The sequence below is a fragment of the Homo sapiens genome, chromosome 14 (assembly GCF_000001405.40).
Source record: "Homo sapiens chromosome 14, GRCh38.p14 Primary Assembly".
In the NCBI taxonomy this organism is placed as follows: domain Eukaryota; kingdom Metazoa; phylum Chordata; class Mammalia; order Primates; family Hominidae; genus Homo; species Homo sapiens.
The window spans coordinates 102,531,756-102,556,152 of NC_000014.9; the positions used below are offsets into that span (position 1 = coordinate 102,531,756).

The following is a 24,397-nucleotide window of genomic DNA, read 5'->3' on the forward strand; positions in this document are numbered from 1 at the left end:
GACTACAGGCGCCTGCCACTACGCCTGGCTAATTTTTTTGTATTTTTAGTAGAGACTGGATTTCACCATGTTAGCCAGGATGGTCTCCATCTCCTGACCTCATGATCCACCCGCCTCGGCCTCCCAAAGTGCTGGGATTACAGGCGTGAGCCACCGCGCCCGGCCTAGTTTTCTTTTTTAAGACGGAGTCTCACTCTGTCGCCGAGGCTTCACTGCAACCTCCGTCTCCCAGGTTCAAAGGTTTCTCCTGCCTCAGCCTCCCAAGTAGCTGGGATTATAGGCGCCCACCACCATGCCTGGCTAATTTTTGTATTTTTAGTAGAGACGGGGTTTTGCCATGTTGGCCAGGCTGGTCTTGAACTCCTGACCTCAGGTGATCCACCCGCCTCAGCCTCCCAAAGTGCTGGGATTACAGGCATGAGCCACTGCACTGGGCCACATGAATAGTTTTCATTTCTGAGATCACTTCGTGTTCAAAATGGTTGCTGAAACTCCTGCCATTTTATCTGCATTCCCAGAAGTGAGAAGGGAGTAGAGTGTGCCTTTCCCTTTAAGAACTCTTTATGAAGTCAAACACACTCCTTACATTGAGGCCAAAAATTAGTCACATGGCCACACCTATGTGTAAGGGAGGCTGGGAAATGTCTTAATTCCAGGCAGCAAATGCCCTGATAAAATATCAGCTTCTAATCCCTTGGATCTCTGTGGGAGGTGGAGGTGGGGAGTGGAAGTGGAGGACCGTGAGCAATAGCTGATGTAATCACTGAGAAGCTGTGTGTCCTTGGGCAAATCCCTTCACCTCTCTGAGCTCCTGCCTGTCTTTGAAATGAGGATGTAGAAAGATCATCTCCAAGGACACTCCCTGCCTTGACATTTTGAGACTCTGGCGCAGGGAGCCCAGGGTGGTCAAAGACAAGAACAGAAGCTGCTTGGGTTTAAAAGTTGCCTGGCCAGGCACGGTGGCTAACGCCTGTAATCCCAGCACTTTAGGAGGCCGAGGCGAGTGAATCTCCAGGTCAGGAGTTCGAGAGCAGCCTGGCCAACACGGTGAAACCCCGTCTCTACTAAAAATACAAAAAAATTACCTGGGCATAATGACAGGCACATGTAATCCCAGCAACTTGGGAGGCTGAGGCAGGAGAATCGCTTGAACCCAGGAGGCGGAGGTTGCAGTGAGCCAAGATCGCGCCACTGCACTCCAGCCCTGGCGACAGAGTGAGACTCCGTCTCAAAAAAAAAAAAAAAAAAATGTTGCCTGTTCTGGGCTGGGCGCGGTGGCTCATGCCTATAATCCCAACAATTTGGGAGGCTGAGGCAGGCAGATCACAAGGTCAGGAGTTCAAGACGAGCCTGGCCAACATGGAGAAATCATGCCTCTGCTAAAAATACAAAAAATTAGCCGGGCATGGTGGCAGGCACCTGTAATCCCAGCTACTCGGGAGGCTGAGGCAGGAGAATCTCTTGAACCCAAGAGACAGAGGTTGCAGTGAGCCCAGACTGTGCCACTGCACTCCAGACTGGGCAACAGAGCAAGACTCCATCTCAAAAAAAAAAAGAATGGCTAAGGCAGAGCAGGTCCGAAGGCAGCTAGTTGCCCTTTTGTTTGTTTGTTTCTAAGATGGAGTCTCCCTCTGTTTCCCAGGCTGGAGTGCAGTGGCATGATCTTGGCTCCCTGCAACCTCTGCCTGCTGTATTCAAGCGATTCTCCTGCCTCAGCCTCCAGAGCAGTTGGGATTACAGGCATGAGCCACCACGCCTGGCTAACTTTTTGTATTTTTAGTAGAGACGGGGTTTCCCCATGTTGGCCTGTCTGGTCTAGAACTCCTGACCTCAGATGATCTCCCTGCCTTGGCCTCCCAAAGTGCTGGGATTACAGGCCTAAGCCACCATGCCTGGCCAAGCTTGCCCATTTTTATGGTTATTTCTTGATTACATGCTAAATAGAGGGTGTATTATTCATGCCTCCCCATTTTAGACCATATAGGGTAACTTCCTGACGTTGCCATGGCATTTGTAAACTTTCATGGTGCTGGTGGGAGTGTAGCAGTGAGGACGCCCTGAGGTCACTCTTAATCGCCATCTTGGTTTTGGTGGGTGTTGGCCAGCTTCTTTACTGCAGCCTGTTTCATCAGCAAAGTCTTTGTGACCTGTATCTTGTGCCGACCTCCTATCTCATCCTGTGACTTAGAATGTCTTAACCTCCTGGGATTGCAGCCCAGTAGGTCTCAGCTTCATTTTACTCAGCCCCTGCTCAAGATGGAGTTGCTCTGGTTCACACAACTCAACACTTTGGGAGACTGAGATGGGAGGATCCCTTCAGCACAGGAGTTCAAGACCAGCCTGGGCAACATGGCGATACTCCCTCTCTGCAAAAAATATATGTAAATTGCCGGGCACGGTGGCCTGTAATCCCAGCACTTTGGGAGGCCACGGCGGGAGGATCACGAGGTCAGGAGATCGAGACCACCTTGGCTAACACGGTGAAACCCCGTCTCTACTAAAAATACAAAAACTCAGCCCGGCGTGGTGGCGGGCACCTGTAGTCCCAGCTACTCGGGAGGCTGAGGCAGGAGAATAGCGTGAACCCAGGAGGCAGAGCTTGTGGTGAGCTGAGATCGCGCCACTGCACTCCAGCCTGGGTGACAGAGCGAGACTCTGTCTCAAAAAAAAAAAAAAAAAAGATGTATATTTACTTATTTACAAAAACCGGGCCAGGCTGGGCGCGGTGGCTCACACCTGTAATCCCAGCACTTTGGGAGGCCAAGACGGGTAGATCACAAGGTCAGCAGATCGAGACCATCCTGGCTAACACAGTGAAACCCCGTCTCTACTAATAATACAAAAAAAAAATTCGCCAGATGTGGTGGCGGACACCTGTAGTCCCAGCTACTCGGGAGACTGAGGCAAGAGAATGGCATGAACCCAGGAGGCAGATCTCGCAGTGAGCCAAGATCGCGCCACTGCGCTCCAGCCTGGGCGACAGAGTGAGACTCAGTCTCAAAAACAAAAGCAAACAAACAAAAAAACTGGGCCAGACGCGGTGGCTTAGCCTGTAATCCCAGCACTTTGTGAGGCTGAGGTGGGCCCACCTGAGGTCGGGAGTTCGAGACCAGCCTGCCCAACATGGTGAAACCCCATATCTACTAAAAATACAAAAATTAGCTGGGCATGGTGGCAGGTGCCTGTAATCCCAGCTATTATTGAGGCTGAGGCAGGAGAATCACTTGAACCGGGAGGTGGAGGTTGCAGTGAGCCGAGATGGCACCACTGCACTCCATCCTGGGCAACAGAGACTGTATCTCAGAGAAAAAAAAAAGGGGGGGGGCAGGTGTTTTGTCTCACGCCTGTAATCCCAGCACTTCGGGAAGCCGAGGCGGGCAGATCACAAGGTCAGGAGTTCGAGACCAGCCTGGGCGACATGGTGAAACCCCCGTGTCTACTAAAAATACAAAAATTAGCCAGGCGTGGTGGCGCATGCCTGTAATCCCAGCTACTCGGGAGGCTGAGGCAGGAGAATCATTTGAACCCAGGAGGCAGAGGTTGCGGTGAGCTGAGATTGCGCCACTGCACTCCAGCCTGGGTGACAGAACAAGACTCTGTCTCAAACAAACAAACAAAAAACGATCTGTCCTCTGGTGACACGGGAGCCTGGATGCCTTGCTGGAGTGGATAGTCTGTGGCTCGGGGGAGACTCTCTAGGAGCCCCCAGGCCACCCTGTTCCTTCCTGCAAGGCTACTTGCTGCCCTGACCCCTCTGAGGGGCAGGCAGGGAGGGGAGAGGCACTGGGGAAACTGCAGGGGGATGTGGTTGTGATCCAGGCCTGTGGAGGGAGTGCTGGGGAAGGGGAGACTTCAGCAAGGGCAGATGAAGCCTTGTTTTTTCCTTTTTTCTTTCTTTCTTTTTTTTTTTTTTTTTTTTTGCGATGGAGTCTCGCCCTGTTGCCCAGGCTGGAGTGCAGTGGCGTGATCTCAGTTCACTGCAAGCTCTGCCTCCCGGGTTCATGCCCTTCTCCTGCCTCAGCTTCCCAAGTAGCTGGGACTACAGGCGCCCACCATCACGCCCGGCTAATTTTTTGTATTTTTAGTAGAGACGGGGTTTCACCCTGTTAGCCAGGATGGTCTCGATCTCCTGACCTCGTGATCCACCTGCCTCGGCCTCCCAAAGTGCTGGGATTACAGGCGTGAGCCACTGCTCCCAGCCAGATGAAGCATTGTGACTCTAGGGCATGTAAATTCCCTGGCAGCCAGGCCCTGGGAGCACCCCTCCCCTCCTGTGCCCTTGACACCTACCTCAGTGAGGCAGCCCCAGCAGCCGGGCAGTGGGCGGCAGAGAAGGGTGTCCTGGGACAGAGGTTTTCCTAGTCTTTCTTCAGAATGGAGGAAGCCCCTGGGGTGCCTGGACTTCCTGTAGGACCCAGGGAAGAAAGATGGCCATTCTCCCTGTCGCGTGATGGGGGCTCCAGCTGTTTTACACAAGAAGACATATAACTTTCATGGTTAAGAGCAGGGGTTCTGGGCCTGATGGCTTGGGTTCGAATCCCGGCTCCTATGCATGCCAGCTGTGTTACATACTTCTAGACAAATTACATAACTTCTCTGTGCCTCACTTTCCTCCACTGCAAAACGAGGAGTCCTGAGCAGGTGAGATCCCCTGACAGCTCTCGGGACAGCTGGAGTGCTCAGTGAAAGCTCTTCGTGCAATCACTGCGGAGGGTGACCAGGGACATCGATAGGACGCTGGAGGGATTACCCTATGTCCCCCGACCCGCCCGACTACAACAGCCTTGCAGATAAGCCACGAGCCTGCCTGCTCCTCCTCGTGAGTTGGAGACAGGAGAGGGAGCAGAGTTCAGGGGCTTGTTTCTTTCTTTCTTTTTTTTTTGAGATGGAGTTTCGATTCTGTTGCCCAGGCTGGAGTGCAGTGGCGCAATCTCGGCTCACTGCAACCTCTGCCTCCCAGGTTCAAGTGATTCTCCTGCCTCAGCCTCCTGAGTAGCTGGGATTACAGGCCTGCGCCACCATGCCTGGCTAATTTTTGTATTTTTAGTAGAGACAGGGGTTTCACCATGTCGCCCAGGCTGGTCTCGAACTCCTGACCTTGTGATCTGCCCGCCTTGGCCTCCCAAAGTGCTGGGATTACAGGCGTGAGCCACGGTGCCTGGCCAGGACCCTCCATTTCTTTTTTTTTTTTTTTTTTTTTTTTTTGAGATGGAGTCTCGCTCTGTCACCCAGGCTGGAGTGCAGTGGTGCGATCTCAGCTCACTGCAAGCTCCGCCTCCCGGGTTCATGCCATTCTCCTGCCTCAGCCTCTCGAGTAGCTAGGACTACAGTCGCCTGCCACCACACCTGGCTAATTTTCTGTATTTTTAGTAGAGACTGGGTTTCACCGTATTAGCCAGGATGTTCTTGATTTCCTGATCGCGTGATCCTCCCGCCTCGGCCTCCCAAAGTGCTGGGATTACAGGTGTGAGCCACTGCGCCCGGCTGGACCCTCCATTTCTAATAAGCTCCTGGGAGAGTCCTCCCTGGTGCTCTGAGGGTGACTGACCGGCAAGGCACTTCTGGGGCCCCTAAGCCCTCCAACCTCAGCTGCTGTGGAGAGCTGACCCCCAGGGGAGTACGTCAGGGTGCTGGGTGGGGCACCAGTTTCAAGGATGCCCAACACAGCCCTCCCCTTGGGGCTGCAAGGCCCTGGGACCAGCGGCCCAGCCCTGTCCCCAGGCAGGTCCTCAGACCTAGGACCACAGGGGGGTCTGGGGCCCAGGCCAAGGGCAAACCTGCTGGGATCTGAGCCCCTCTTGGTGGCTTCCTGGTGTGTGCACATCCTTCCCCAGGCAGGAGAGGAAGCAGGGCCAGCTCCTTCTCCTCCCAGGGCAAGACCTGAAGTCTCTGTTTGTGTGTCTGTCAGACTTGCTGTGAGGGCCACAGTGTCTCCACTGAGGCCTTATCCAGCCTCCAGGAGGTCCCATTTTTCAGGGAAAGGGCCTGCTGCTGAAGGCTGTCACTCATCTGACTTCAAATCCCAGCTCTGCCACTTCCAGGCTGTGTGACTCCAGGCAAGTTGCTTAACCTCTCTGTGCCCACTACTTCTGTAAATGGGGATATCATGGGATTCTCGTGAGCTGTGAATAGCATCTGTTGATGTGTTTGTTTCTGTGCATTCAGACTTTCCCTCTTTCCTCAGGCACTTGCCGGGCAGCCTTCTGTGCCACATCCCTGACCCTGCCCCAGGGCACACCAGCTTCAGTGACAGGGATGGCTGGTGAACAGGAGGCCCAGGCCTGCTGCTCTGGCCGATGTAAATCCAAGGAGCTGTGATGACGCGGGAGAGGGGCGGTTTGGGAAAAAATGTGTGAAGGATGCCCCCGTGGGAGCAGGAGCCCCACTGGCAGGGGCAGGCCGGGGGTAACTCAGCCACAGGGAAGGGGCCCAGCCGGGGCTGGAGGGAGGGCCACCTGCAGAAATGAGCTGTGGGGGGGCGAGAAGGGCAGGCAGCTGGGGCTGAGGAAGACCAGCCCCCAAGACACCCATGGAGAAACTGAGGCAGAATCTGTACTTGGAGCCAGCCACCGCTCTCCACTGGCCCACACTGCTGTGATCCTTCCCACGCTGCGCGGCTGGCTGGAACCCAAACCCCCCACAGCGGGCCTGGCCTTCAGAGCTGGTTCCAGATGTTTAAATACCCAGCCTTCACCTCCCGTCACAGACACTTCCACTGGAAGGTGTTGGTGCCACATCCCCAGTGCTGCCAGGCTAATATGGGGTGGGGGCCTTGCAGCCCCAAGGGGAGGGCTGTGTTGAGCGTTCTGGACACTGGTGCCCCACCCAGCACCCAGCAGGGGCACTCTGCGCTGTGCTGCCCCTCCCCAGCTGCCTGGGCCACCAGTTCAGGAGAGCTCACCCCTTTGCAACCTTTCCCAACTCAATGCCACGCCAGGAAGTCAGGAGGGGGATGACCCTGCCACACTCTGCCCCCCAGCTCCCTTCCCACCATGCCCCGGGACCAAGACAGGAGGGCCAGCTGGGCCCAGGGCACTTCGCCAGTATCATCGGGTCCTCACCACAGCCCTCAAGGGGGTGTTCCTGTTCCACACACAGAAGACTGAGGCCCAGGGATGGGACTGGGTCGTGTGAAACGCCAGGCCATGCCCGGCCCCGCAGAGTCCTGCGTAGCTGCCCGGCCGGCCCAGGGCTCAGATCCCCTCCTCCAGGCCTGGCCCCAGCTGCTATTGGGGCCCACTGAGGCCTACTGGATCCTAACTGGATGCAATTAGGACATCACCTGATGCCCCTGTCAGGGTGGCTCCTCCCAACCGCTAGAGGACTCAGGCCAAAGGCATTTGGGGTGCAGCCCCCACCCTGGCCCTGGTGGGCCGGAGTCATGCTCTATGTGCCCCCCAGCTGTCCAAGCAGGGGTGTACAGAGACTCTGGGGTGGGGTGAGGGTGAGAGCCTGAGAAGGCTGTTGCGGAGGACACACCGGAAACTGTCACCAGGCCCTGCCCTCAGCCGACCCGGGCCAGGGCCAGGAGGGCCTCCTGGGGGCCGCCATCTTTCTGTTCTGGGAAGGCCAGGCTGGGGGTGAGCTCCATGGGGCTCCTGTGTCCTCATCCATTGGTGGGATGCGGCTCCCTCCCGGGGACCTCTCAGGGCACTGATAAGAGCCACCAGGACTAGGTTCAGCCCACAGCAGGTGGGATGCACCCGCCCCTTGGCGGGCCGGGGGTGGAGACCGGGAGTTTCTGGAGAAGGCCTTTCAGATTCTGAAGGCAGGCACTCCATGCCCCATCCCTGGAGCGCGAGTGACAAGTGTCTTTGTCACAGAAGGACAGAAAGGCCCTACGTGGCCCCTGAGCAGCTCTGGGGAACATTCTTGGTCCGGGTTCCTGTCTGGGGGTTCTGGAGTCTAGGATTCCAGGATCTGGGTTTTGAGGTCTTGGGTTGTAGGGTCTGCGGTTTGAAGCCCCTCTTGTAACCCAGGACAGAGGTGAAAGCAGTGGGGTGGACTGGGCAGCCCCCAAAGTTCAATGGACCTAAAGTGCTGGTGCTCAGCCCTGCCCAGGCAGCTGGCAGGTGGTCCAGAAACCCCTCGTTCTATGGAGACTGAGGCCCAAGTCTTTGGAGGTGGTCAGGGGTCTGTCCCAGAGCACCTTTGGGCGAAAGGTAGGGGGAAGACCACCCAAGACGACCCTCCCCAACACCAGCAAGGGAGCCCAGCATCTCCTCTGAGGCCACTGCCCTGTGGGTCCAGCCTCTCTGGGCTGGGTGTGTGGAGGCCGCTCCTATGGCGGTGTGGGCGGTGCAGCTCATTCCCCCGGGGCTCCCAGCCTCCCACCCCCATCCGGCCTCCTCCTCCAGAGCCTGGGGACTGGTGGATGCCTGCCAAGAACGCCCACAGCCTGCCAGGATGCGCAGGAAGCACACACACGCCTAATCCCACCCCCATTGTCATAGATCCCTCTTGATTCTGGGCCTGTCTTTCTGGGGGAAACTGAGGCCCAGAGGGATTGAGGGCCCCCAAGGTCCCCGAGTCTCCAGGTGTACCTTGGAGGCTGTGCTTTAGTGGGGCCTCCCCCGGCCTTCTTTGCAGTCCTGAGTGTGTGAAGGGGAGGAATCGGGGGCTGCCAGGCCAGGAGCCAAGGCCGGGGGTGGGGAGCAGCTGGCAGGTGTCCCGGCAGGAGGCCCGGCTAGGGGAGACCAGAACTCCTCTGCTCCTCCCTCCCAACGGCTTCCCACCCCACTCTACAGCAGGCCGCTGGCAGGCCCGGAAGGGCTTGGGAGCCGGAGGGTGCTTGCCGGGGCTCCTGAAGGCCTGAGGAGCTCCTGAGGGACTGGAGGCTTCGGGCCTGGAAGGCTGGAAGGCACTGGCCCTGCAGCTTGGTTCCCGGGGCTCCACGTGTCTGAATGCAAAACAAAGGCGGCTCACAATGAGAAGGCGGGTGCTGGGGATCTGCCCCCGTCGTGCATGTGTCACCACACGGTGTCGAAGCGGACACCTGCCTCCGGGATGAGCGCATTGGGCAACACTGCATGCTTTGCATTGGGAACATGTTTGTGTGTGTGCGTTGGGGGTGTGTGTGCGGTGGGGGGCTATGGGCTGGGATGTCCCTTGAGGTGATCAGCTCTCTACGTTCCGCACACACAAACACACAGTGTGACTGAGACACACATGTGAGTATTGAGATCTCCAGGGCTGACTTCCTGCCGGAAGCATGCCCTGGCCCCCGTCACCTTGTGTGAAATTCCTCCACCTGAGCACCTTCCCGGTAGAGCCACGCGTTGCCTGTGATGGAGGGGCCATGACTAACCCAGGCACTAGGCCTGGAGGCTGGGCTGGCTGCGCTGTACAGTTGCAAGGACCTGCCAGACAGCTCTGTGGACAGAGCCTCCGTCGGGGTTTCACCACGTTGGCCAGGCTGGTCTTGAACTCCTGACCTCAGGTGGTCTGCCTGCCTCGGCCTCCCAAGGTGCTGGGATTATACGCATGAGCCACAGTCTCGCTCTGTCACCCAGGCTGGAGTGTAGTGGCACAATCACAGCTCACTGTAGCCTCGACCTCCTCAGCTCAAGCGATCCTCCCACCTCAGCCTCCCAAGTAGCTGAGACTACTACAGGTGTGCACCACCACACCCGGCTAATTTTTTAAGTTTTTGTAGAGATGGGGTTTCGCCATGTTATCCAGGCTGGTCTTTTTTTTTTTGTTTTGTTTTGAGACGGAGTCTAGCACTGTCACCCAGGCTGGAGTGCAGTGGCGTGATCTCAAGTTGCTGCAACCTCCACCTCCTGGGTTCCAGCGATTCTCCTGCCTCAGCCTCCCGAGTAGCTGGGAGTCCAGGCACCTGCCACCACGACCAGCTAATTTTTTTATTTTTAGTAGAGACGGGGTTTCACTGTGTTAGCCAGGATGGTCTCGAACTCCTGACCTTGTGATCCGCCCACCTCGGCCTCCCATTTACAGTAGACTGTTTTCTACTGTAAAAGGCTTTTTCAATCAACTTTGGTATTAGGTGTCTATTTACTACTGCATAGTCAATTACCTCAAAGCTTAGCAACTGAAAACCAAACGCCATCTCGCAGCATAGGTGGGTTAGAAATTCAGAAGTGGCCCAGCCCATGGCTCTGGCCCAGGGTCTCCAGCAGGCTGCAGAGGGGACAGCAGTGACTTGGAGGGATTTCTTCCAAGCTCACCCACAGGGGGAAGCCTTCAGCTCCTGGCCACCTTCGCCTCTCCGGCCTGGGACAGCTGACTCTCCCCAGGGCAAGAGAGCAAGAAGGGGGGGCCACCACTACCCAAAACAAAAGTTGGTCTTTTTTTGGCCAGGTGCGGTGACTCACGCCTATAATCCCAGCGATTCTCCTGCCTCAGCCCCCCGAGTAGCTGGGAGTCCAGGCGCCTGCCACCACGCCCAGGCTGATTTTTGTATTTTTAGTAGAGACATGGTTTCACCATGTTGGCCAGGCTGGTCTCAATCTCCTGACCTTGTGATCTGCCCATCTGAGCCTCCCAAAGTTCTGGGATTACAGGCGTGAGCCACTGTGCTGGGCCATGTGGGTCGTATTCTATTCCTAAGTCACCCAGTCCTACCCACACTCAGGGAGTACACAAGGGAACAGACAGCAGGAGGCAGGGATTGCTGGGGGCCTTCCTGGAGGCTGAGTATGATGAGCGCCCGGTGAGGAGTCCTACAAAGTTGGTAAGGGGTCCGCTCTTGGAATGGATCGTAGTCATACTCGAACACTTACTCTGTCCAGGCACTGCTCCAAGAACTTTATGTTGAGCCCTCACTACCACCTTGGGCTCGGCATGTGAGCCTCACTTTACGGAATAATAAAGAGAAGAGAAGTGGCCAGGCACAGTGGTTCACGCCTGTAATCCCAGCACTTTGGGAGGCCGAGGTGGGTGGATCGTGAGGTCGGAGTTCGAGACTAGCCTGGCCAACAAGGTGAATCCCCGTCTCTACTAAAAATGCAAAAATTAGTGGGGCGTGGTGGCGGGCGCCTATAATCCCAGCTACTCAGGAGGCAGAGGCAGAAAACTGCCTGAATCCAAGAGATGGAGGGTGCAGTGAGCCAAGATCGTGCCACTGCACTCCAGCCTGGGTGACAGAGCGAGACTCTATCTCAAAAATAAATAAATAAATAAAATAAAAAAAAGAGAGAGAGAGGAAAAGTGTCTTGTTCTCAAATCCCTCAGCCCATAAGAGCTCTGGAGCTGGCTGGGATTCCAGTCTACATGGGTTTGTACCCAAGGAGGAAGCTGGGCTGGGCAGGCTGTGCCTCAGAGCCTGCAAGATATGGCACTATGTCCCCCATGGGAGCTGATATTGGATCAGTTCAGGAAAAGGTGACATCAGAAGAGGCTCTGTGGGTGCCCTAAGCCAGGGGTGGAGGGCAGAGGGTTGGGGAGAGGAGCTCACCCCCAGGAGAGGGTTTGGAGGTTAGACAGAAGAGGGCTAAGGTCAGGGACCAAGGGCTCTGTGTCTAAAGATGGCCCAGGGAAGAGGGAGTCAGCTAGAATGTGGGGGAGGCCAGGAAGGGAGGCTGCAGTGGTGTGGACTCCTCTGCAGGAGCAGCCTGGCCATGTGATGGCACAGGAGCAGGGCAGCGTGGGGTCAAGGCCCACAGGGGGCAAGCTTTCCGTTCCGGTGGCTGGGTGGGAGCATGGCCACATTCTTTACCCTCTCATTGGGCCAGTGCTGCCCCAGACCCTGTCTGGGCTGATGCCCCAGATGTGGCCTGCCAGCTCACCAGCCCTGAGGCCACGTGTCCCAGGTGCCCCACCCGGGGCGGTGCCCCCCCATCCATTGCCCCAGCTAGTCCAGCCTATGTGCCCAGCACCCTGCCCTCTAGCCTCTGCCCTCAGCCCCTGGGAGCCATCACTCTTCATGAAGCAACCTGACCCTTAGGCCAGGCTGTCACACTGCTGGGCACCTCCCTCTCCAGGGAGCCCAACAGACGTCCTAACCTTTCCCAGACCTTTTTATTTTATTTTTTTAAATATATATATGCACGTATTAGAGATGGGGTCTTGCTATGTTGGCCAGGTTGGTCTTGAACTCCTGTCCTCTCACATCGGCCTCCCAAAGTGCTGGGATTACAGGCATGAGCCACGGCATTTGGCCTCTCATACCTTTGAGAGTGCAGATGAGGAATTTTTGCAGAGGGCCACAAGAATCCTGCCTACTCCGCCCTCCCCCGCCCCCACCACCACCCAACAAATGCAGATATTTGGTGTCTCCCCAGAATCAATGTCCAGCACTCACCAGGGGCCACAAGCCCTGGCCAAGGCCTGTCTGCCTGTCCCAGTGTCTGTCTCTGTCCCTCCCGACCAGCCTCGGAATCTCTCCAGCAAACACTGGACCACTCTGCCCGGCTCCTCCCAGCTGCATGTATCCACCCAGCCCCCAGATGCCAGCAAAGGCTCCACTGACCACCCCCCAGAGGGGCGGGTGTGCCGTCCCCACCACCTAGTCCAGCCTAGCTGGCCACAGGCCTCCACCCGCATTTCCAGCCTTTGTCCGAGTCATTCTCCTGCCTAACCTGTCCCTCTCCCTTCTCCAAACGTCCAGATCTTTCCCATCCTTTAGGGCTCTGCTCAAAGCCGGATAGCTGAGTCTGAGAAAGTGACCCAACCTCTTTGAGCCTTAGTTTCCCCCCTCCCTTGCCAGGGAACTGGGAGGAGGGAAGAGGGTGCGGCCGTGGGGAGCCTGGCTCCCCGCATCCGCCCAGCCCGCGGGGCTCCCCATCCCGGCCAGTGGCTCCCTAAGCCTTGCCAGGTGGTGACGGCTCCTTGGGCGGCCCATTCCCGCCCCGCAAAACCAGCTAAGGGCCCCTGAAACGCTGCCCGGAACGCCCCGCGGGAGAACATCTGCGCCAGGGGCCGGGGGCCGGGGGCCGCGGCGGGCGAAATCCGAGAGGCCCGGGCTCCTCCTGCTGCGCGGCCGGGGAGGGGGGCGCCTGCCGGGTCGGGGCTGGAGGACCTGCGCGCGGCCCCGGGAGGCCCCGCCTCGCCTTCCAGTCTGTGAAATGGGGCGACGGCCTGGGCGTGGCGGCGAGTTCTTGTCCGCTGCCGGCGGGCGCGGTCGTCGAGGACACAGCTAGGGGAGGCGCAGAAACACCCGGAGGCGGCACCGCCGTCTCCTCCCCGGGATCCCACACCCCGCAGGTTCAGGAGGAAGGCGCGGCCCGAGGCCTCCGGGGCGGGGTGTCCCCGAGACGGGAACCCGAACCCGACGGCCTCCGTTCCGCCTGCGCCCCTTCAAGGCTCCCGGACGGGCCTCAGTGGCTTCCCCGCCCCTCCCCACCGCGTCCCGGCTCCCCGGGCGGGGGGTGGGGGGGGTCGCGTGCGGACGGTTCCCCACCCCGCGCGTGCGCACCTCTCCTCCCCCAGGAGATTAAGTGGGGACTCTGAACCCTGTCTCCAGCCCTGATGGGGAGGAGTAATCCGATTGCTTTCCAAACCCGGCCTCGCCTTGCAAACTTGTCCACCCCCAACCCACCCGGACGGCCGGGCCGCCGCCTCCTCTGGGCCTCGTCTCCCCTTCAAGCCCCCGGCCTTGTGGGGAAGGGGGAATCCTTGACGCATTTTACAGACGGCACATAGGGTCGGGGCAGTGCTTTAACCGGAGACCAGGAGCCTGACTCTTCCAGGGCTCTGTGAGACAGCCTGGTGCCTGGCGGGGGTGACACAGCCCCACTGTCTGCCCCGCGTTTACAGCCAGGAACCACACCTGAGCCATTTCCAAGGGTGACATGTGTCACAGAACTGTGGGGAAGGGGCTATCCAGAGATTCCCAGTAGGAGACACGGGGAGACCTGCAGGGTGAGTTTGGACGGGACTAGAGAGGGGGCAGGGCTGGGGGAAGAAAGTGCCCCCAGCGGTTGGCCCTGAGAGAGGATTCCAGGGCTCCCTTGAAAGAACAGCGGGGTGGGGGTGGGGAGCAGAAAGGAGGCCTGCGGGCCACATGCAGCCTCTGGATCTCAGCCCAGCAGCCCGAGGAGCCACAGCTGGGTGCAGAGTGGCTCATTCGTATTTTACTAGATCCCTCGGGCCTCTGTGCCTTCCCAGGGCTCTGCAAGCCGGGGAAGAAAAGAATCGTTGCTTCATCCTGCAACTCCCAGACGGTGCTTCCCGACCCTGGTGCGGGTGGTGAGGAGGGGGAGGGAGGTGGTTGTGAGGCCTGCTTTGCAGTTGTTTGTGGAATACAGTAAGATTCTTGGCTGGGATGAGCCGAACAGGACGAAGAACCGAATTCTGCCGGGGCCGCTTAAGGAAGACTGCCTAGGCGAGGTGGCCCAGGCTGGGGATGAGCCAGTGGAGGAGGAAGTCTCGAGAGAGGGGACAGCAGTGAGCCCAGCACCCTCTCCATGGGAGTCTGAGTGTAAGGCATCCCGACCTGTCTGCCAGCGTCTCTCTCTGCTGGGGGCTGCTAAGGTGCAGATAGGAAGCGGTCGGGGGCCTCTGTGTATGGGTGGAGGAGGCGGATGGTGGGGGGCAGGCAGGCGACGGGGCAGGGAAGACCCTATGAAAACTAGGACCTGTCCTATGGACAGGCTTCACCGGCGGACAGTGGGGGAATCTGGTTAAACTCTGAGTCTAAACCTCACGCTGGCCGGGCACGGTGGCTCATGCCTGTAAATCCCAGCACTTTGGGAGGCCGAGGCAGGCAGATCACAAGGTCAGGAGTTTGAGACCAGCCTGGCCAATATGGTGAAACCCCGTCTCTACTAAAAACACAAAAATTAGCCGGGCGTGGTGGCAGGCGCCTGTAGTCCCAGCTACTTGGGAGGCTGAGGCAGCAGAATTGCTTGAACCTGAGAGGCAGAGGTTGCAGTGAGCTGAGATCGTGCACTCCAGCCTGGGTGACAGAGTGAGACTCTGTCTCAAAAAAAAAAAAAAAAAGAAAGAAATTACCAGGGTAGGGCATGGTGGCTCACGCCTGTAATCCCAGCACTTTGGGAGACGGAGGCAGGTGGATCGCTTGAGTCCAGGAGTTCAAGAGCAGCCTGGGCAATGTGGTGAAACCTCATCTTTATTAAAAATACAAAAATTAGCCAGGTGTGGTGGTGGGCGCCTGTAATCCCAGGTACTTGGGAGGCTGAGGCAGGAGAATCGCTGGAACCTGGGGTGCGGAGGTTTGCAGTGAGCTGAAATTCCACTACTGCACTCCAGCCTGGGCGACAGAGCAGGACTCCATCTTGAAAAAAAAAATCTCTACAAAAAAATACAAAAACTAGCCGGGCATGGTGGTGTGCACCTGTAGTCCCAGCTGGCTCGGGAGGTTGAGGTGGGAGGATTGCTTGAGCCTGGGAGGCGGAGGTGCCAGTGAGCCGAGATCACACCACTGCACTCCAGCCTGGGCAAGAGAGCAAGACTGGAAAGAAAAAAAGAGAGAAAGAAAGAAAGAGAGAGACAGAGAGAGAGAGAAAGGAAGGAAGAAAGGGAGGGACGGAGGGACGGAGGGAGGGAGGGAGAGAATGAAGGAAGGAAGGAAGGAAAAAGGAAGGAAAGAAAGAGGAAGGAAGGGAGGGAGGAAGGAAGGAGAAAAATAAATAACTGAACACATATTTATCTTACAGTTTCTCCACATCAGGAGTCTGTGCATGATTAAGCTGGTCATTTGCTTAGGGTCTCACAAAGCTGCAATCAAGGGTCCCACTGGGATTTCAGTTGAATTTGGCTGGGGAAGGATACGCTTCTGAGCCACCGAAGTTGCTGGTGGAGTTCAGTTATTTGCTGCTGTAGGACTGAGGGCTTCAGTTTTGTTTTGTTTGTTTGTTTTTTGCCAACTATTGGATTTAGAGGCTGTCCTTAGATCCTAGAGGCAAGCTGTTATCTCCACATGGCAGTTCCTTGCCATGGGGGCCTTTCAGTGTAACAGCATGGCAGCTTCCTTCTTTTTCTTTTTTTGAGACAGAGTCTCACTCTGTCACCCAGGCTGGAGTGCAGTGGAGAGATCTCGGCTCACCGAAACCTCTGCCTTCTGGGTTCAAGTGATTCTCCTGCCTCAGCCTCCCAAGTAGCTGGGATTACAGGCATGTGCCACCATGCCTGGCTAGTTTTGTATCTTTAGTAGAGACGGGGTTTCTCCATGATGGTCAGGCTGGTCTCGAACTCCCGACCTCCGGCGACCCACCCACCTTGGCCTCCCAAAGTGCTGGGATTACAGGTGTGAGCCACCATGCCCAGCAGCAGCTTCCTTCTTCTAAGCCAGTGAGAGGGGAAGAGACTCAAGCGAGATAGGCACAACAGTCTTATGTGATGTAATCCCATATATTCCATCACCTTTGTCCTGTTGGTTCCAGCGAGTCACAGGTCATTCCCACACTCAACAGGAGGGACTACAAAACGGTGCAAACACCGAGGGCAGGGATCTTTGGGAGCTACTTTTTTTTTTTTTTTTTTTTTTGAGACAGAGTCTCGCTCTGTCGCCCAGGCTGGAGTGCAGTGGTGTGATCTTGGCTCACTGCAACCTCTGCCTCCCGGGTTCAAGCGATTCTCCTGCCTCAGTCTCTCGCATAGCTGAGACTACAGGCACATGCCACCACGCCCAGCTAAATTTTTTTTGTATTTTAATAGAGACAGATTTCACCGTGTTGCCCAGGCTGACCTCGAACTCCTGAGCTCAGGCAATCCACCCTTCTCAGCCTCCGAAAGTGCTAAGATGATAGGCGTAAGCCACTGCCTCCAGCCTGGGAGTTATTTTGGAAGGACCCTAACTACACTAAGCAACTAAAAAGAAAGGCAATTATTAACTTCATGAAAAACTGAAAGTTAAACCAGAAAGGAAACTTAACCACAGTGCATTAGTTGGCTCAGTAGCAAACAATGTTTATATAATCATTATAATGAAACTGAATATTGATTTGATCCGAAATTGCTCTATATTGATAATGAGAGGTGACACAGGGAGAGTATGGGGAGGGGGGTGTTGCACGGAAGAGTGTAAAAAATGTGAAACTCATCTTCTGTAAGGGAAAGCCAGTAGATAATGGCTGGGTTGTTAAATCAAGTAACAACAGCACAAGAATGTTATTTATAAACATGGAGATAAAATCCAGAAAAAGAAGCCAAAAAAGTTGAATGTGGCTGTCTCTGGGGAGGATTAAGAGTGGGATAGGTGGGGAGGGGCTGCTGCTTTTCACTATGTCTATTTGCCTTTTAAAATTCTATGCATATCATGTGCCTATACTTTATTGCATTACTTGGATAAAAATATACAGTAATTAATAGAGAAAGGGGTAGGGGAGGAGAAGCATCCTTGAAGAGTGAACAGTGAAGTTCCCTGGGGGACAGGCTCCCATTTAGAGGCAGAGATGGGGGAGGAACAATATCCCCTGGGAACCCTCAGGGGCTCATACACCAGAAATTACAGTAACCAGAGCTTGCACCAGGAGAATATAGTAACTGCCTGGGGCCTGGGGGAGGTGGGCGTTCCTGGGGCTGGGGGGATTTGAGAGGATAGTGGTGGGGGTGAGCTTGGATCCTCCTTGGGGTGGAGAAGGAGCCTCGGGCCCCGAGTGGGTTTCCCCCACCCTAGGAGTCTCCCATCTCCATAGACATTTCTTGGGGAGACTCTGAAGGCTCTGACCAGGTTTTCTTTTGTTGTTAGAAAGGGGGTCTCGCTATGTTGCCCAGGCTGGAGTACAATGGCTATTCACAGGCATGATCATAGCTCACTGCAGCCACGAAATCCTGGGCTCATGATCCTCCCACTTCAGTCTCTCAAGTAGCTGGAACTACAGGCATGCACCACTGCAGCACCTGGCTTTTTTTTTTTTTTTTTTTTTTTTGGCAGACGGAGTCTCACTCTGTCGCCCAGGCTGGAGTGCAATGGCACGATCTCAGCTCACTGCAACCTCCACCTCCCGGGTTCAAGCGATTCTTCTGCCTCAACCTCCCGAGTAGCTGGGACTGTAGGTGCCCGCCACCATGCCCGGCTATTTTGTTTTATTTATTTTTTTTAACAGTCTCACTCTGTCACCCAGGCTGGAGTGCAGTGGCAGGATCTCGGCTCACTGCAACCTCCACCTCCTGGGTTCAAGTGATTCTCCTGCCTCAGCCTCCTGAGTAGCTGGGATTACAGGTGCCTGCCACCATGCCCAGCTAATTTTTTTTGTATTTTTAGTAGAAGCGGGGTTTCACCATGTTGGCCAGGCTGGTCTCAAACTCCTGACCTCAGGTGATCCACCCGCCTCAGCCTCCCAGAGTGCTGGGATTACAGGTGTGAGCCACCGTGCCTGGCCTTTTTTTTTTTTTTTTTTTGAGACAGGATCTCACTCGTTCACTCAGATTGGAGTGCAGTGGTGTGATCTCAGCTCACTGCAACCTCTGCCTCCCAGGCTCAGGTGATTCTCCCGCCTCAGCCTCCCAAGTAGCTGGGACCACAGGCATGCACCACCATGCCTGGCTAACTTTTTGTATTCTTAGCAGAGATGGCGTTTTGCCCTGTTGGCCAGGCTGGTTTCAAACTCTTGAGCTCAGACAATCCACCCTCTTTGGCTTCCCAAAGGGCTGGTATTACAGGCATCAGCCACTGCGCCCCAGCCTATCTCTGTCACTTTCTCCCTGCCTTCCTCTCTCCTCCACAGAATGATCTCTCGCAGCACCCAAGTCTGCACCCTGCTTCACTCACTCAGCAATCTGTCCAGGAGCTCCTTCAATGTCAAGACATCCAGAAAGATCTGTCTTCCTCCTTTTCCAGGCCCCTGTGCAGGAACCCCCTGCACCTGGTCCCCCGTGATGGGTGCTCAGGTTGGTGCAGAACTTTGCTTTTATTAATTATGCGACAGATGGAACCCCTCAGCACATCCTACGAGGCTTTCTTTTGCCCTGGGATGCCCTACGAACCTGCCCTGGGATGCCAGGTCCATCTAGGTACACTCGTCATAGGCCAGGTGTCCCAGGCCCCAGCAGCTGTGTGGACAGCTGTGAGGAAAGGAGAGTAAGGAGGAAGAATGCTGGTGACTTTGGGTCAGGAAGGGATTTCTGGGCTGGGTGCAGTGACCCACACCTGTAATCCCAGCACTTTGGAAGGCTGAGGCGGGGAATCACTTGAGCCTAGGAGTTCAAGACCAGCCTGGGGAACATAGCGAGACCCTGTCTCAAAAAAAGAAGAAGAAGAAAGGGACTTCTGGGGGTTCCTTGGTTGCTGGCACTCCCCAAGGGCACAGGGCTATCTCTGGGGCTGCCACTGTGGGCCTGGGCACTGGTGATGGGGGGTGGGGAGATGGCTGAGAGTCCCTGTCTGGAGCACAGTCCCTGGCTGGAAGGTGATTCTGGCTGTCAGAGGCATTTGAACCAGAGCAACTCCATTTTGAATAGGGGCTGTGTAAAGTGAGGCTGAGACCTAGATGGGCTGCACTCCCAGAGGGTTAAGGCATTCTAAGACAGGATGAGATAGGAGGTCGGCACAAGATACAGGTCATAAAGACCTTGCTGATAAAACAACTTGGAGTAAACAAGCCGGCCAACACCCACCAAAACCAAGATGGTGACAAGAGTGACCTCTGGTCATCCTCACTGCTACACTCCCACCAGCACCATAACAATTTACAAATGCCATGGCAACGTTAGGAAGTTACCCTATATGGTCTGAAAAGGGGAGGCATGAATAATCCACCCCTTGTTTTGCATATAATCAAGAAATAACCTTTGGGTGTGGTGGCTCATGCCTATAATCCCAGCATTTTGGGAGGCTGAGGTGGGTGGATCACTTGAGGCCAGGAGTTAGAGACCAGCCTGGCCAACATGGTGAAACCCCGTCTCTACTAAAAATATAAAAATTAGCCGGGTTTGATCCCAGCTACTTGGGAGGCTGAGTCAGGAGAATCGCTTGAACCCAGGAGGTGGAGGTTGTGGTGAGCCGAGACCGTGCCATTGCACTCCAGCCTGGGCAACAAGAGTGAAACTCTGTCTCAAAGAAAAAAAAAAAGGGCAACCAGCAGCCCTCAGGGCTGCTCTGTATGTGAACTAGCAATTCTTTTTTCCTAATCAACTTGCTTTCAGTTTACTCTATGGACTCGCCTGGAATTCTTTCTTGTGTGAGATCCAAGAATCCTCCCTCTCTTGGGGTCTGGATGAGGACCCCTTTCTGGTAATATGGCCTCTTACCCCCTTGGTATACCTTAAGGTGGCCTTGGGCAACTTACATTACATCTCTGGGCCTCAGTTTCCTCCTCTAAAAAATGGGGATAACAAAAGCCCCTCTCCTAGGAGAAGAGGCAGGGAACAGCTGGACAGGGCAGAGAGCCTATCTTGGGATCCCGGGGAGGGGCTATGAAGGAAAGGCTTCAGGAATTGAGTGGGACAGGGTATGGGTCAGAATTCTGGTCTGAGCTGCCTGCCCCATGACTCCAGGCCCTCCCGTGGCAGGGCCCAGGCACCTGGCCTCCAAGCCTCAGTTTCCTCGACTCAGCAATGGGCATGGCAGCCCCAACCTTGGAGTGACATATTGTCTAATAACCCTGACTCACTCCCCACCTCCCACGCCCAGGGGCCCCTGCAGTCCTGAGATGGGCCAAGTCAAGCCACACCTCTCTTCCGGCTGGAGCAGCCTGACCAAGTCCCACTTGCTGTTCTGCCAGGGAGCCTGATTTTGGCACTGGTGTATTTCCAGAACCAAGGTGGGTGCCCGGTCTGAGGCCCTAGCGGGTGTCTGGGTCCCTTCCTGGAGGCCCCTTGCCTCCCTCAGCCCTGGCTTTTGGGACTTAGCAGGGGAGGAAGTTTTTTGTTTTGTTTTGTTTTGAGACGAAGTCTCACTGTCACCAAGGCTGGAGTGCAGTGGCACAATCTCGGCTCACTGCAACCTCCCTCTCCTGGGTTCAAGCGATTCTCCCGCCTCAGCGTTGCGAGTTGCTGGGACTACAGGTACGTGTCACTACACAGGCTAATTTTTGTATTTTTTAGTAGAGATGAGGTTTCACTGTGTTAGCCAGGCTGAACTCCTGACCTCATGATCCGCCCGCCTCGGCCTCCCAAAGTGCTGGGATTACCGGCATGAGCCACCGCGCCCGGCCTATGGGAGGAAGTTCTGACATGGATGGCAGGGGTGGGGAGGGCAGCTGAGGACTCTGGAGCAGAGGCTGGGGCCCCACTCTGGCTTTCCCTGGCCCTAAAGGAAGGGTGGGGTCTGAGAGTGTGGAGGCCTGAGAGCAGGGGCAGCACAGACACCCACTCTGAGACCACTTGGTTGTCCCAGCCACCGGGTTCCAGGTGTCTGGGGCCAGGTGGGGTTTTCTCTCCAAGCCCAGAGTGACCTCCCCACTCCCAGCCTTGCCCAGAGCAAGTCTTGCTGAGTTCTAAGGTGAACTCCCACTTGTTCCAGACCAGGGACACAGGGTCCTGCAGGCCTCCCGGAGCAAGCACTCTTGAGAGGGCTTCTCCACGTGGCCACAGGACAGACTGTGCTTCATCCAGCACTGTACGCTCAAACACACACACCTGAAACAAAGGCTCCACGAACAGGCCTGCCCTTACAGCACACCATGCTCTTGTTTAGTCTTCCTTATGTTTTTTGTTTTCGTTTTGAGACGGAGTCTTGCCCTATTGCCCAGGCTGGAGTGCAGTGGTGCAATCTTGGCTCACTGCAACCTCTGCCTTCCAGGTTCAAGCGATTCTCCTGCCTCAGCCTCCTGAGTAGCTGGGATTACAGGCACACAGCACCATGCCCGGCTAGTTTTTCTATTTTTAGTAGAGAAAGGGTTTCACCATGTTGGTCAGGCTAGTCTCGAACTCCTGACCTCGTGATCTGCCCGCTTCGGCCTCCCAAAGTGTTGGGATTACAGGCATGAGCCACCACACCCGGCTGTCTTCCTTATTTTTTTAAATGCCAGCTGTTTTATGCACAATTGTCCCAAACTAGAAACAACCCAATTATCCATCAACTGGTAAAGGAATAAACTAATGTGTTATCTTTGTTTGTTTATTTAATTTTGATACAGGGTCCCACTCTGTCGCCCAGGCTGGAGTACAGTGGAGAGATCACAGGTAACTACAGCCTAAACCTCTTGGGCTCAAGTGATCTTCCCACCTCGGGCACACCTGGCTAATTTTTTTTTTTAATTGAATGTGGTATATTATTTAAAAGGAATGCTGGCCAGGTGTGGTGGCTCATGCCTGTCTGTAATCCCAACACTTTGGGAGGCCAAGGTGGGTGGATCACCTGAGGTCAGGAGTTCAATATCAGCCTGGCCAACATGGTGAAACCCTGTCTCTACTAAAAATACAAAAGTTAGCCATGCGTGGTGGCGCACGCCTGTAATCTCAGCTACTTGGGAGGCTGAAACACGAGAATTGCTTGAAACTGGGAGGCAGAGGTTGCAAAGTAAACCAAGTTTATGCCACTGTGTTCCAGCCTGGGCGACAGAGCGAGACTGTCTCAAAAAAAAAAAGAAAAAAAAAACTATAATGGTAAATTTTGCTATGTATATTTTTATCAGTGTTTAAAAAAAAACATAACAAACTCTCCCTTGGCTCTGCCATGCTCCTTATAGGGCAGGCTACTGTAAAATGAAACTACGGGCCAGGCACGGTGGCTCATGCCTGTAATCCCAGCACTTTGGGAGGCCAAGATGGGTGGATCACCTGAGGTCGGGAGTTCGAGACCAGCCTGACCAATATGGAGAAACCCCCGTCTCTACTAAAAATACAAATTTAGTCGGGTGTGGTGGCACATGCCTGTAATCCCAGCTACTTGGGAGGCTGAGGCAGGAGAATCACTTGAACCCAGGAGTCGGAGGTTGCAGTTGAGCCGAGATCATAGCATGCCATTGCACTCCAGCCTGGGGGACAAGAGCGAAACTCTGTCTCACAAAAAAAAAAAAAAAAAAAAAAAAAGGAAGAAAGGAAGGAAGGAAAGAGAGAGAAAGAAACTACAGGGACTCTTGTTAAAAAATTATTAAGAATTTCAAGATGGCAACAGCAGCATATTAAAACCAAGTGTGGTCTCTTCTAGGCTCAGGACCCTATGGGATTGCACAGGTCGCAGCCCAAGCGCAGTACTTGCGCACAGGTCCCAGCCCCTTCCCTCTCTGGGACTTGTCTTCTGGCCCCTCACTCCTGCGATGAGCTTTTCTTTCAGCTGGTGAAAGGCCGCAGACTTCGAACCTCTGGGCCTTTGTCCAGGACGTTCCCTCAGCGCTCAGTGCCCTTCCTGGTGGCCTCCTACATCTTCAGATCCCGGCTGAGCTCTGCTTAAATCCGGGACCGGGTAGTCACTGGGGCAGCCACTTGGCTGGGGCGAGGCCACCTCGCTTTGGGTCTTGTCGCGCCCAGGCCAGCGCCAGCCCAGGCTTGCCATGGACTGGCTCCTGGGCGTTAGATGAATGAATCGACTCAACCCGGGCCGCCACGTTGTGTTCAGAACACCGACAGTCGCTCCCAGGCAACCAGCACCTGCTGCGCCCCGTTTCCAGCGACCTCCCCAACCGCGTGGACTCGCATCCACGTGCCCGGCGGGGCCGCAGCAGAAAGGCTCGGACCCCCCAGGACGATCGGCCGGTGGGGGCCGGTGGGGCCGCAGACTCGGGGGGCGGGGGGCGCCAGGCTTCCGGGTCCTGCCCCCGCCCCGTGGGGAACAGCAGGACGGCGCCGAGGCCGTTTCGCTTTCCTCCGCGCCCATTTGCCGGGAGGGGACCCCGTGCTCCGACCTGAAGGTGACGGCAGAGCCTGCGGGAGGCCTAGGCCGGTCCCGCCCTACGGGTCCCGGGGGCGACCCTCGCGCTGACATTGGCGTCCAGGCCGCGGCCCCTGCCTCCGCGCCCACCCACGCCGGGCCTGGCCCTCGCTCCCCCGGGAAAAGCCCCGCCGGCGGCCGCGAGAGCGCGGAAGCGCAGCCGTAGTGACCGCGAGACAAAGACCCGGCGGCGGGGGAGGCGGCGGAGAGACCCCGCCAGCGCGGAGACCCCAGGGAAGCTTCTCTGGAAGACCTGGTGCTGGTCCGCTCTCCCGGGACCTCATTTTCCTTATGTGGACAACGGGGGCGGGGTCACAGCAGCCCCTCGGGCTTATAGCCGGGTTGTTCTTTCCTTAAATCTCCTCCCTCTGCCAAAATAAAAAACCCCACAGGGCAAGGCGCGGTGGCTCACGCCTGTAATCCCAGCACTTTGGGAGGCCGAGGCAGGTGGATCACCTGAGGTCAGGAGTTCGAGACCAGCCTTACCAATTTGGTGAAACCCCGTCTCTACTAAAAATACAAAAATTAGCTGGACGTGGTGGCCGGCGCCTGTAATCCCAGCTACTCGGTAGGCTGAGATAGGAGAATTGCTTGGACCCGGGAGGCTAAGGTCAGTGAGCCGAGATCGTGCCACTGCACTCCAGCCTGGGCGACAGAGGGAGACTCCGTCTCAAAAAAAAGAAAAAAAAAAAAAAACCCACAGCGTCCCGGAGGGGCCTGAGG

General features: G+C 55.9%; 1 long non-coding RNA gene and 1 other non-coding gene across 2 annotated transcripts, besides 4 other annotated features; both read left to right on the forward strand.

Moving 5' to 3' along the window:
* Positions 1 to 7,888: 7,888 nt before the first annotated feature.
* MIR4309 (microRNA 4309) lies at positions 7,889 to 7,971 on the forward strand. Its single transcript, NR_036192.1, has one exon. It is a non-coding gene; the product is annotated as a microRNA 4309 (primary transcript).
* Positions 12,926 to 12,985: a silencer, noted in NCBI's record as "silent region_6122". NCBI's record gives its function as "represses an Ori minimal core promoter by ATAC-STARR-seq in GM12878 lymphoblastoid cells {active_cell/tissue: GM12878}" and the evidence as "EXISTENCE:reporter gene assay evidence [ECO:0000049][PMID:35858748]".
* Positions 13,196 to 13,245: a silencer, noted in NCBI's record as "silent region_6123". NCBI's record gives its function as "represses an Ori minimal core promoter by ATAC-STARR-seq in GM12878 lymphoblastoid cells {active_cell/tissue: GM12878}" and the evidence as "EXISTENCE:reporter gene assay evidence [ECO:0000049][PMID:35858748]".
* On the forward strand, positions 13,499 to 24,071 carry LINC02323 (long intergenic non-protein coding RNA 2323). The gene is made up of 3 exons (NR_146561.1): positions 13,499 to 13,821; positions 18,591 to 18,753; positions 22,955 to 24,071. It is a non-coding gene; the product is annotated as a long intergenic non-protein coding RNA 2323 (long non-coding RNA).
* Positions 23,380 to 23,449: a silencer, noted in NCBI's record as "silent region_6124". NCBI's record gives its function as "represses an Ori minimal core promoter by ATAC-STARR-seq in GM12878 lymphoblastoid cells {active_cell/tissue: GM12878}" and the evidence as "EXISTENCE:reporter gene assay evidence [ECO:0000049][PMID:35858748]".
* Positions 23,490 to 23,909: a silencer, noted in NCBI's record as "silent region_6125". NCBI's record gives its function as "represses an Ori minimal core promoter by ATAC-STARR-seq in GM12878 lymphoblastoid cells {active_cell/tissue: GM12878}" and the evidence as "EXISTENCE:reporter gene assay evidence [ECO:0000049][PMID:35858748]".
* Positions 24,072 to 24,397: the final 326 nt, after the last annotated feature.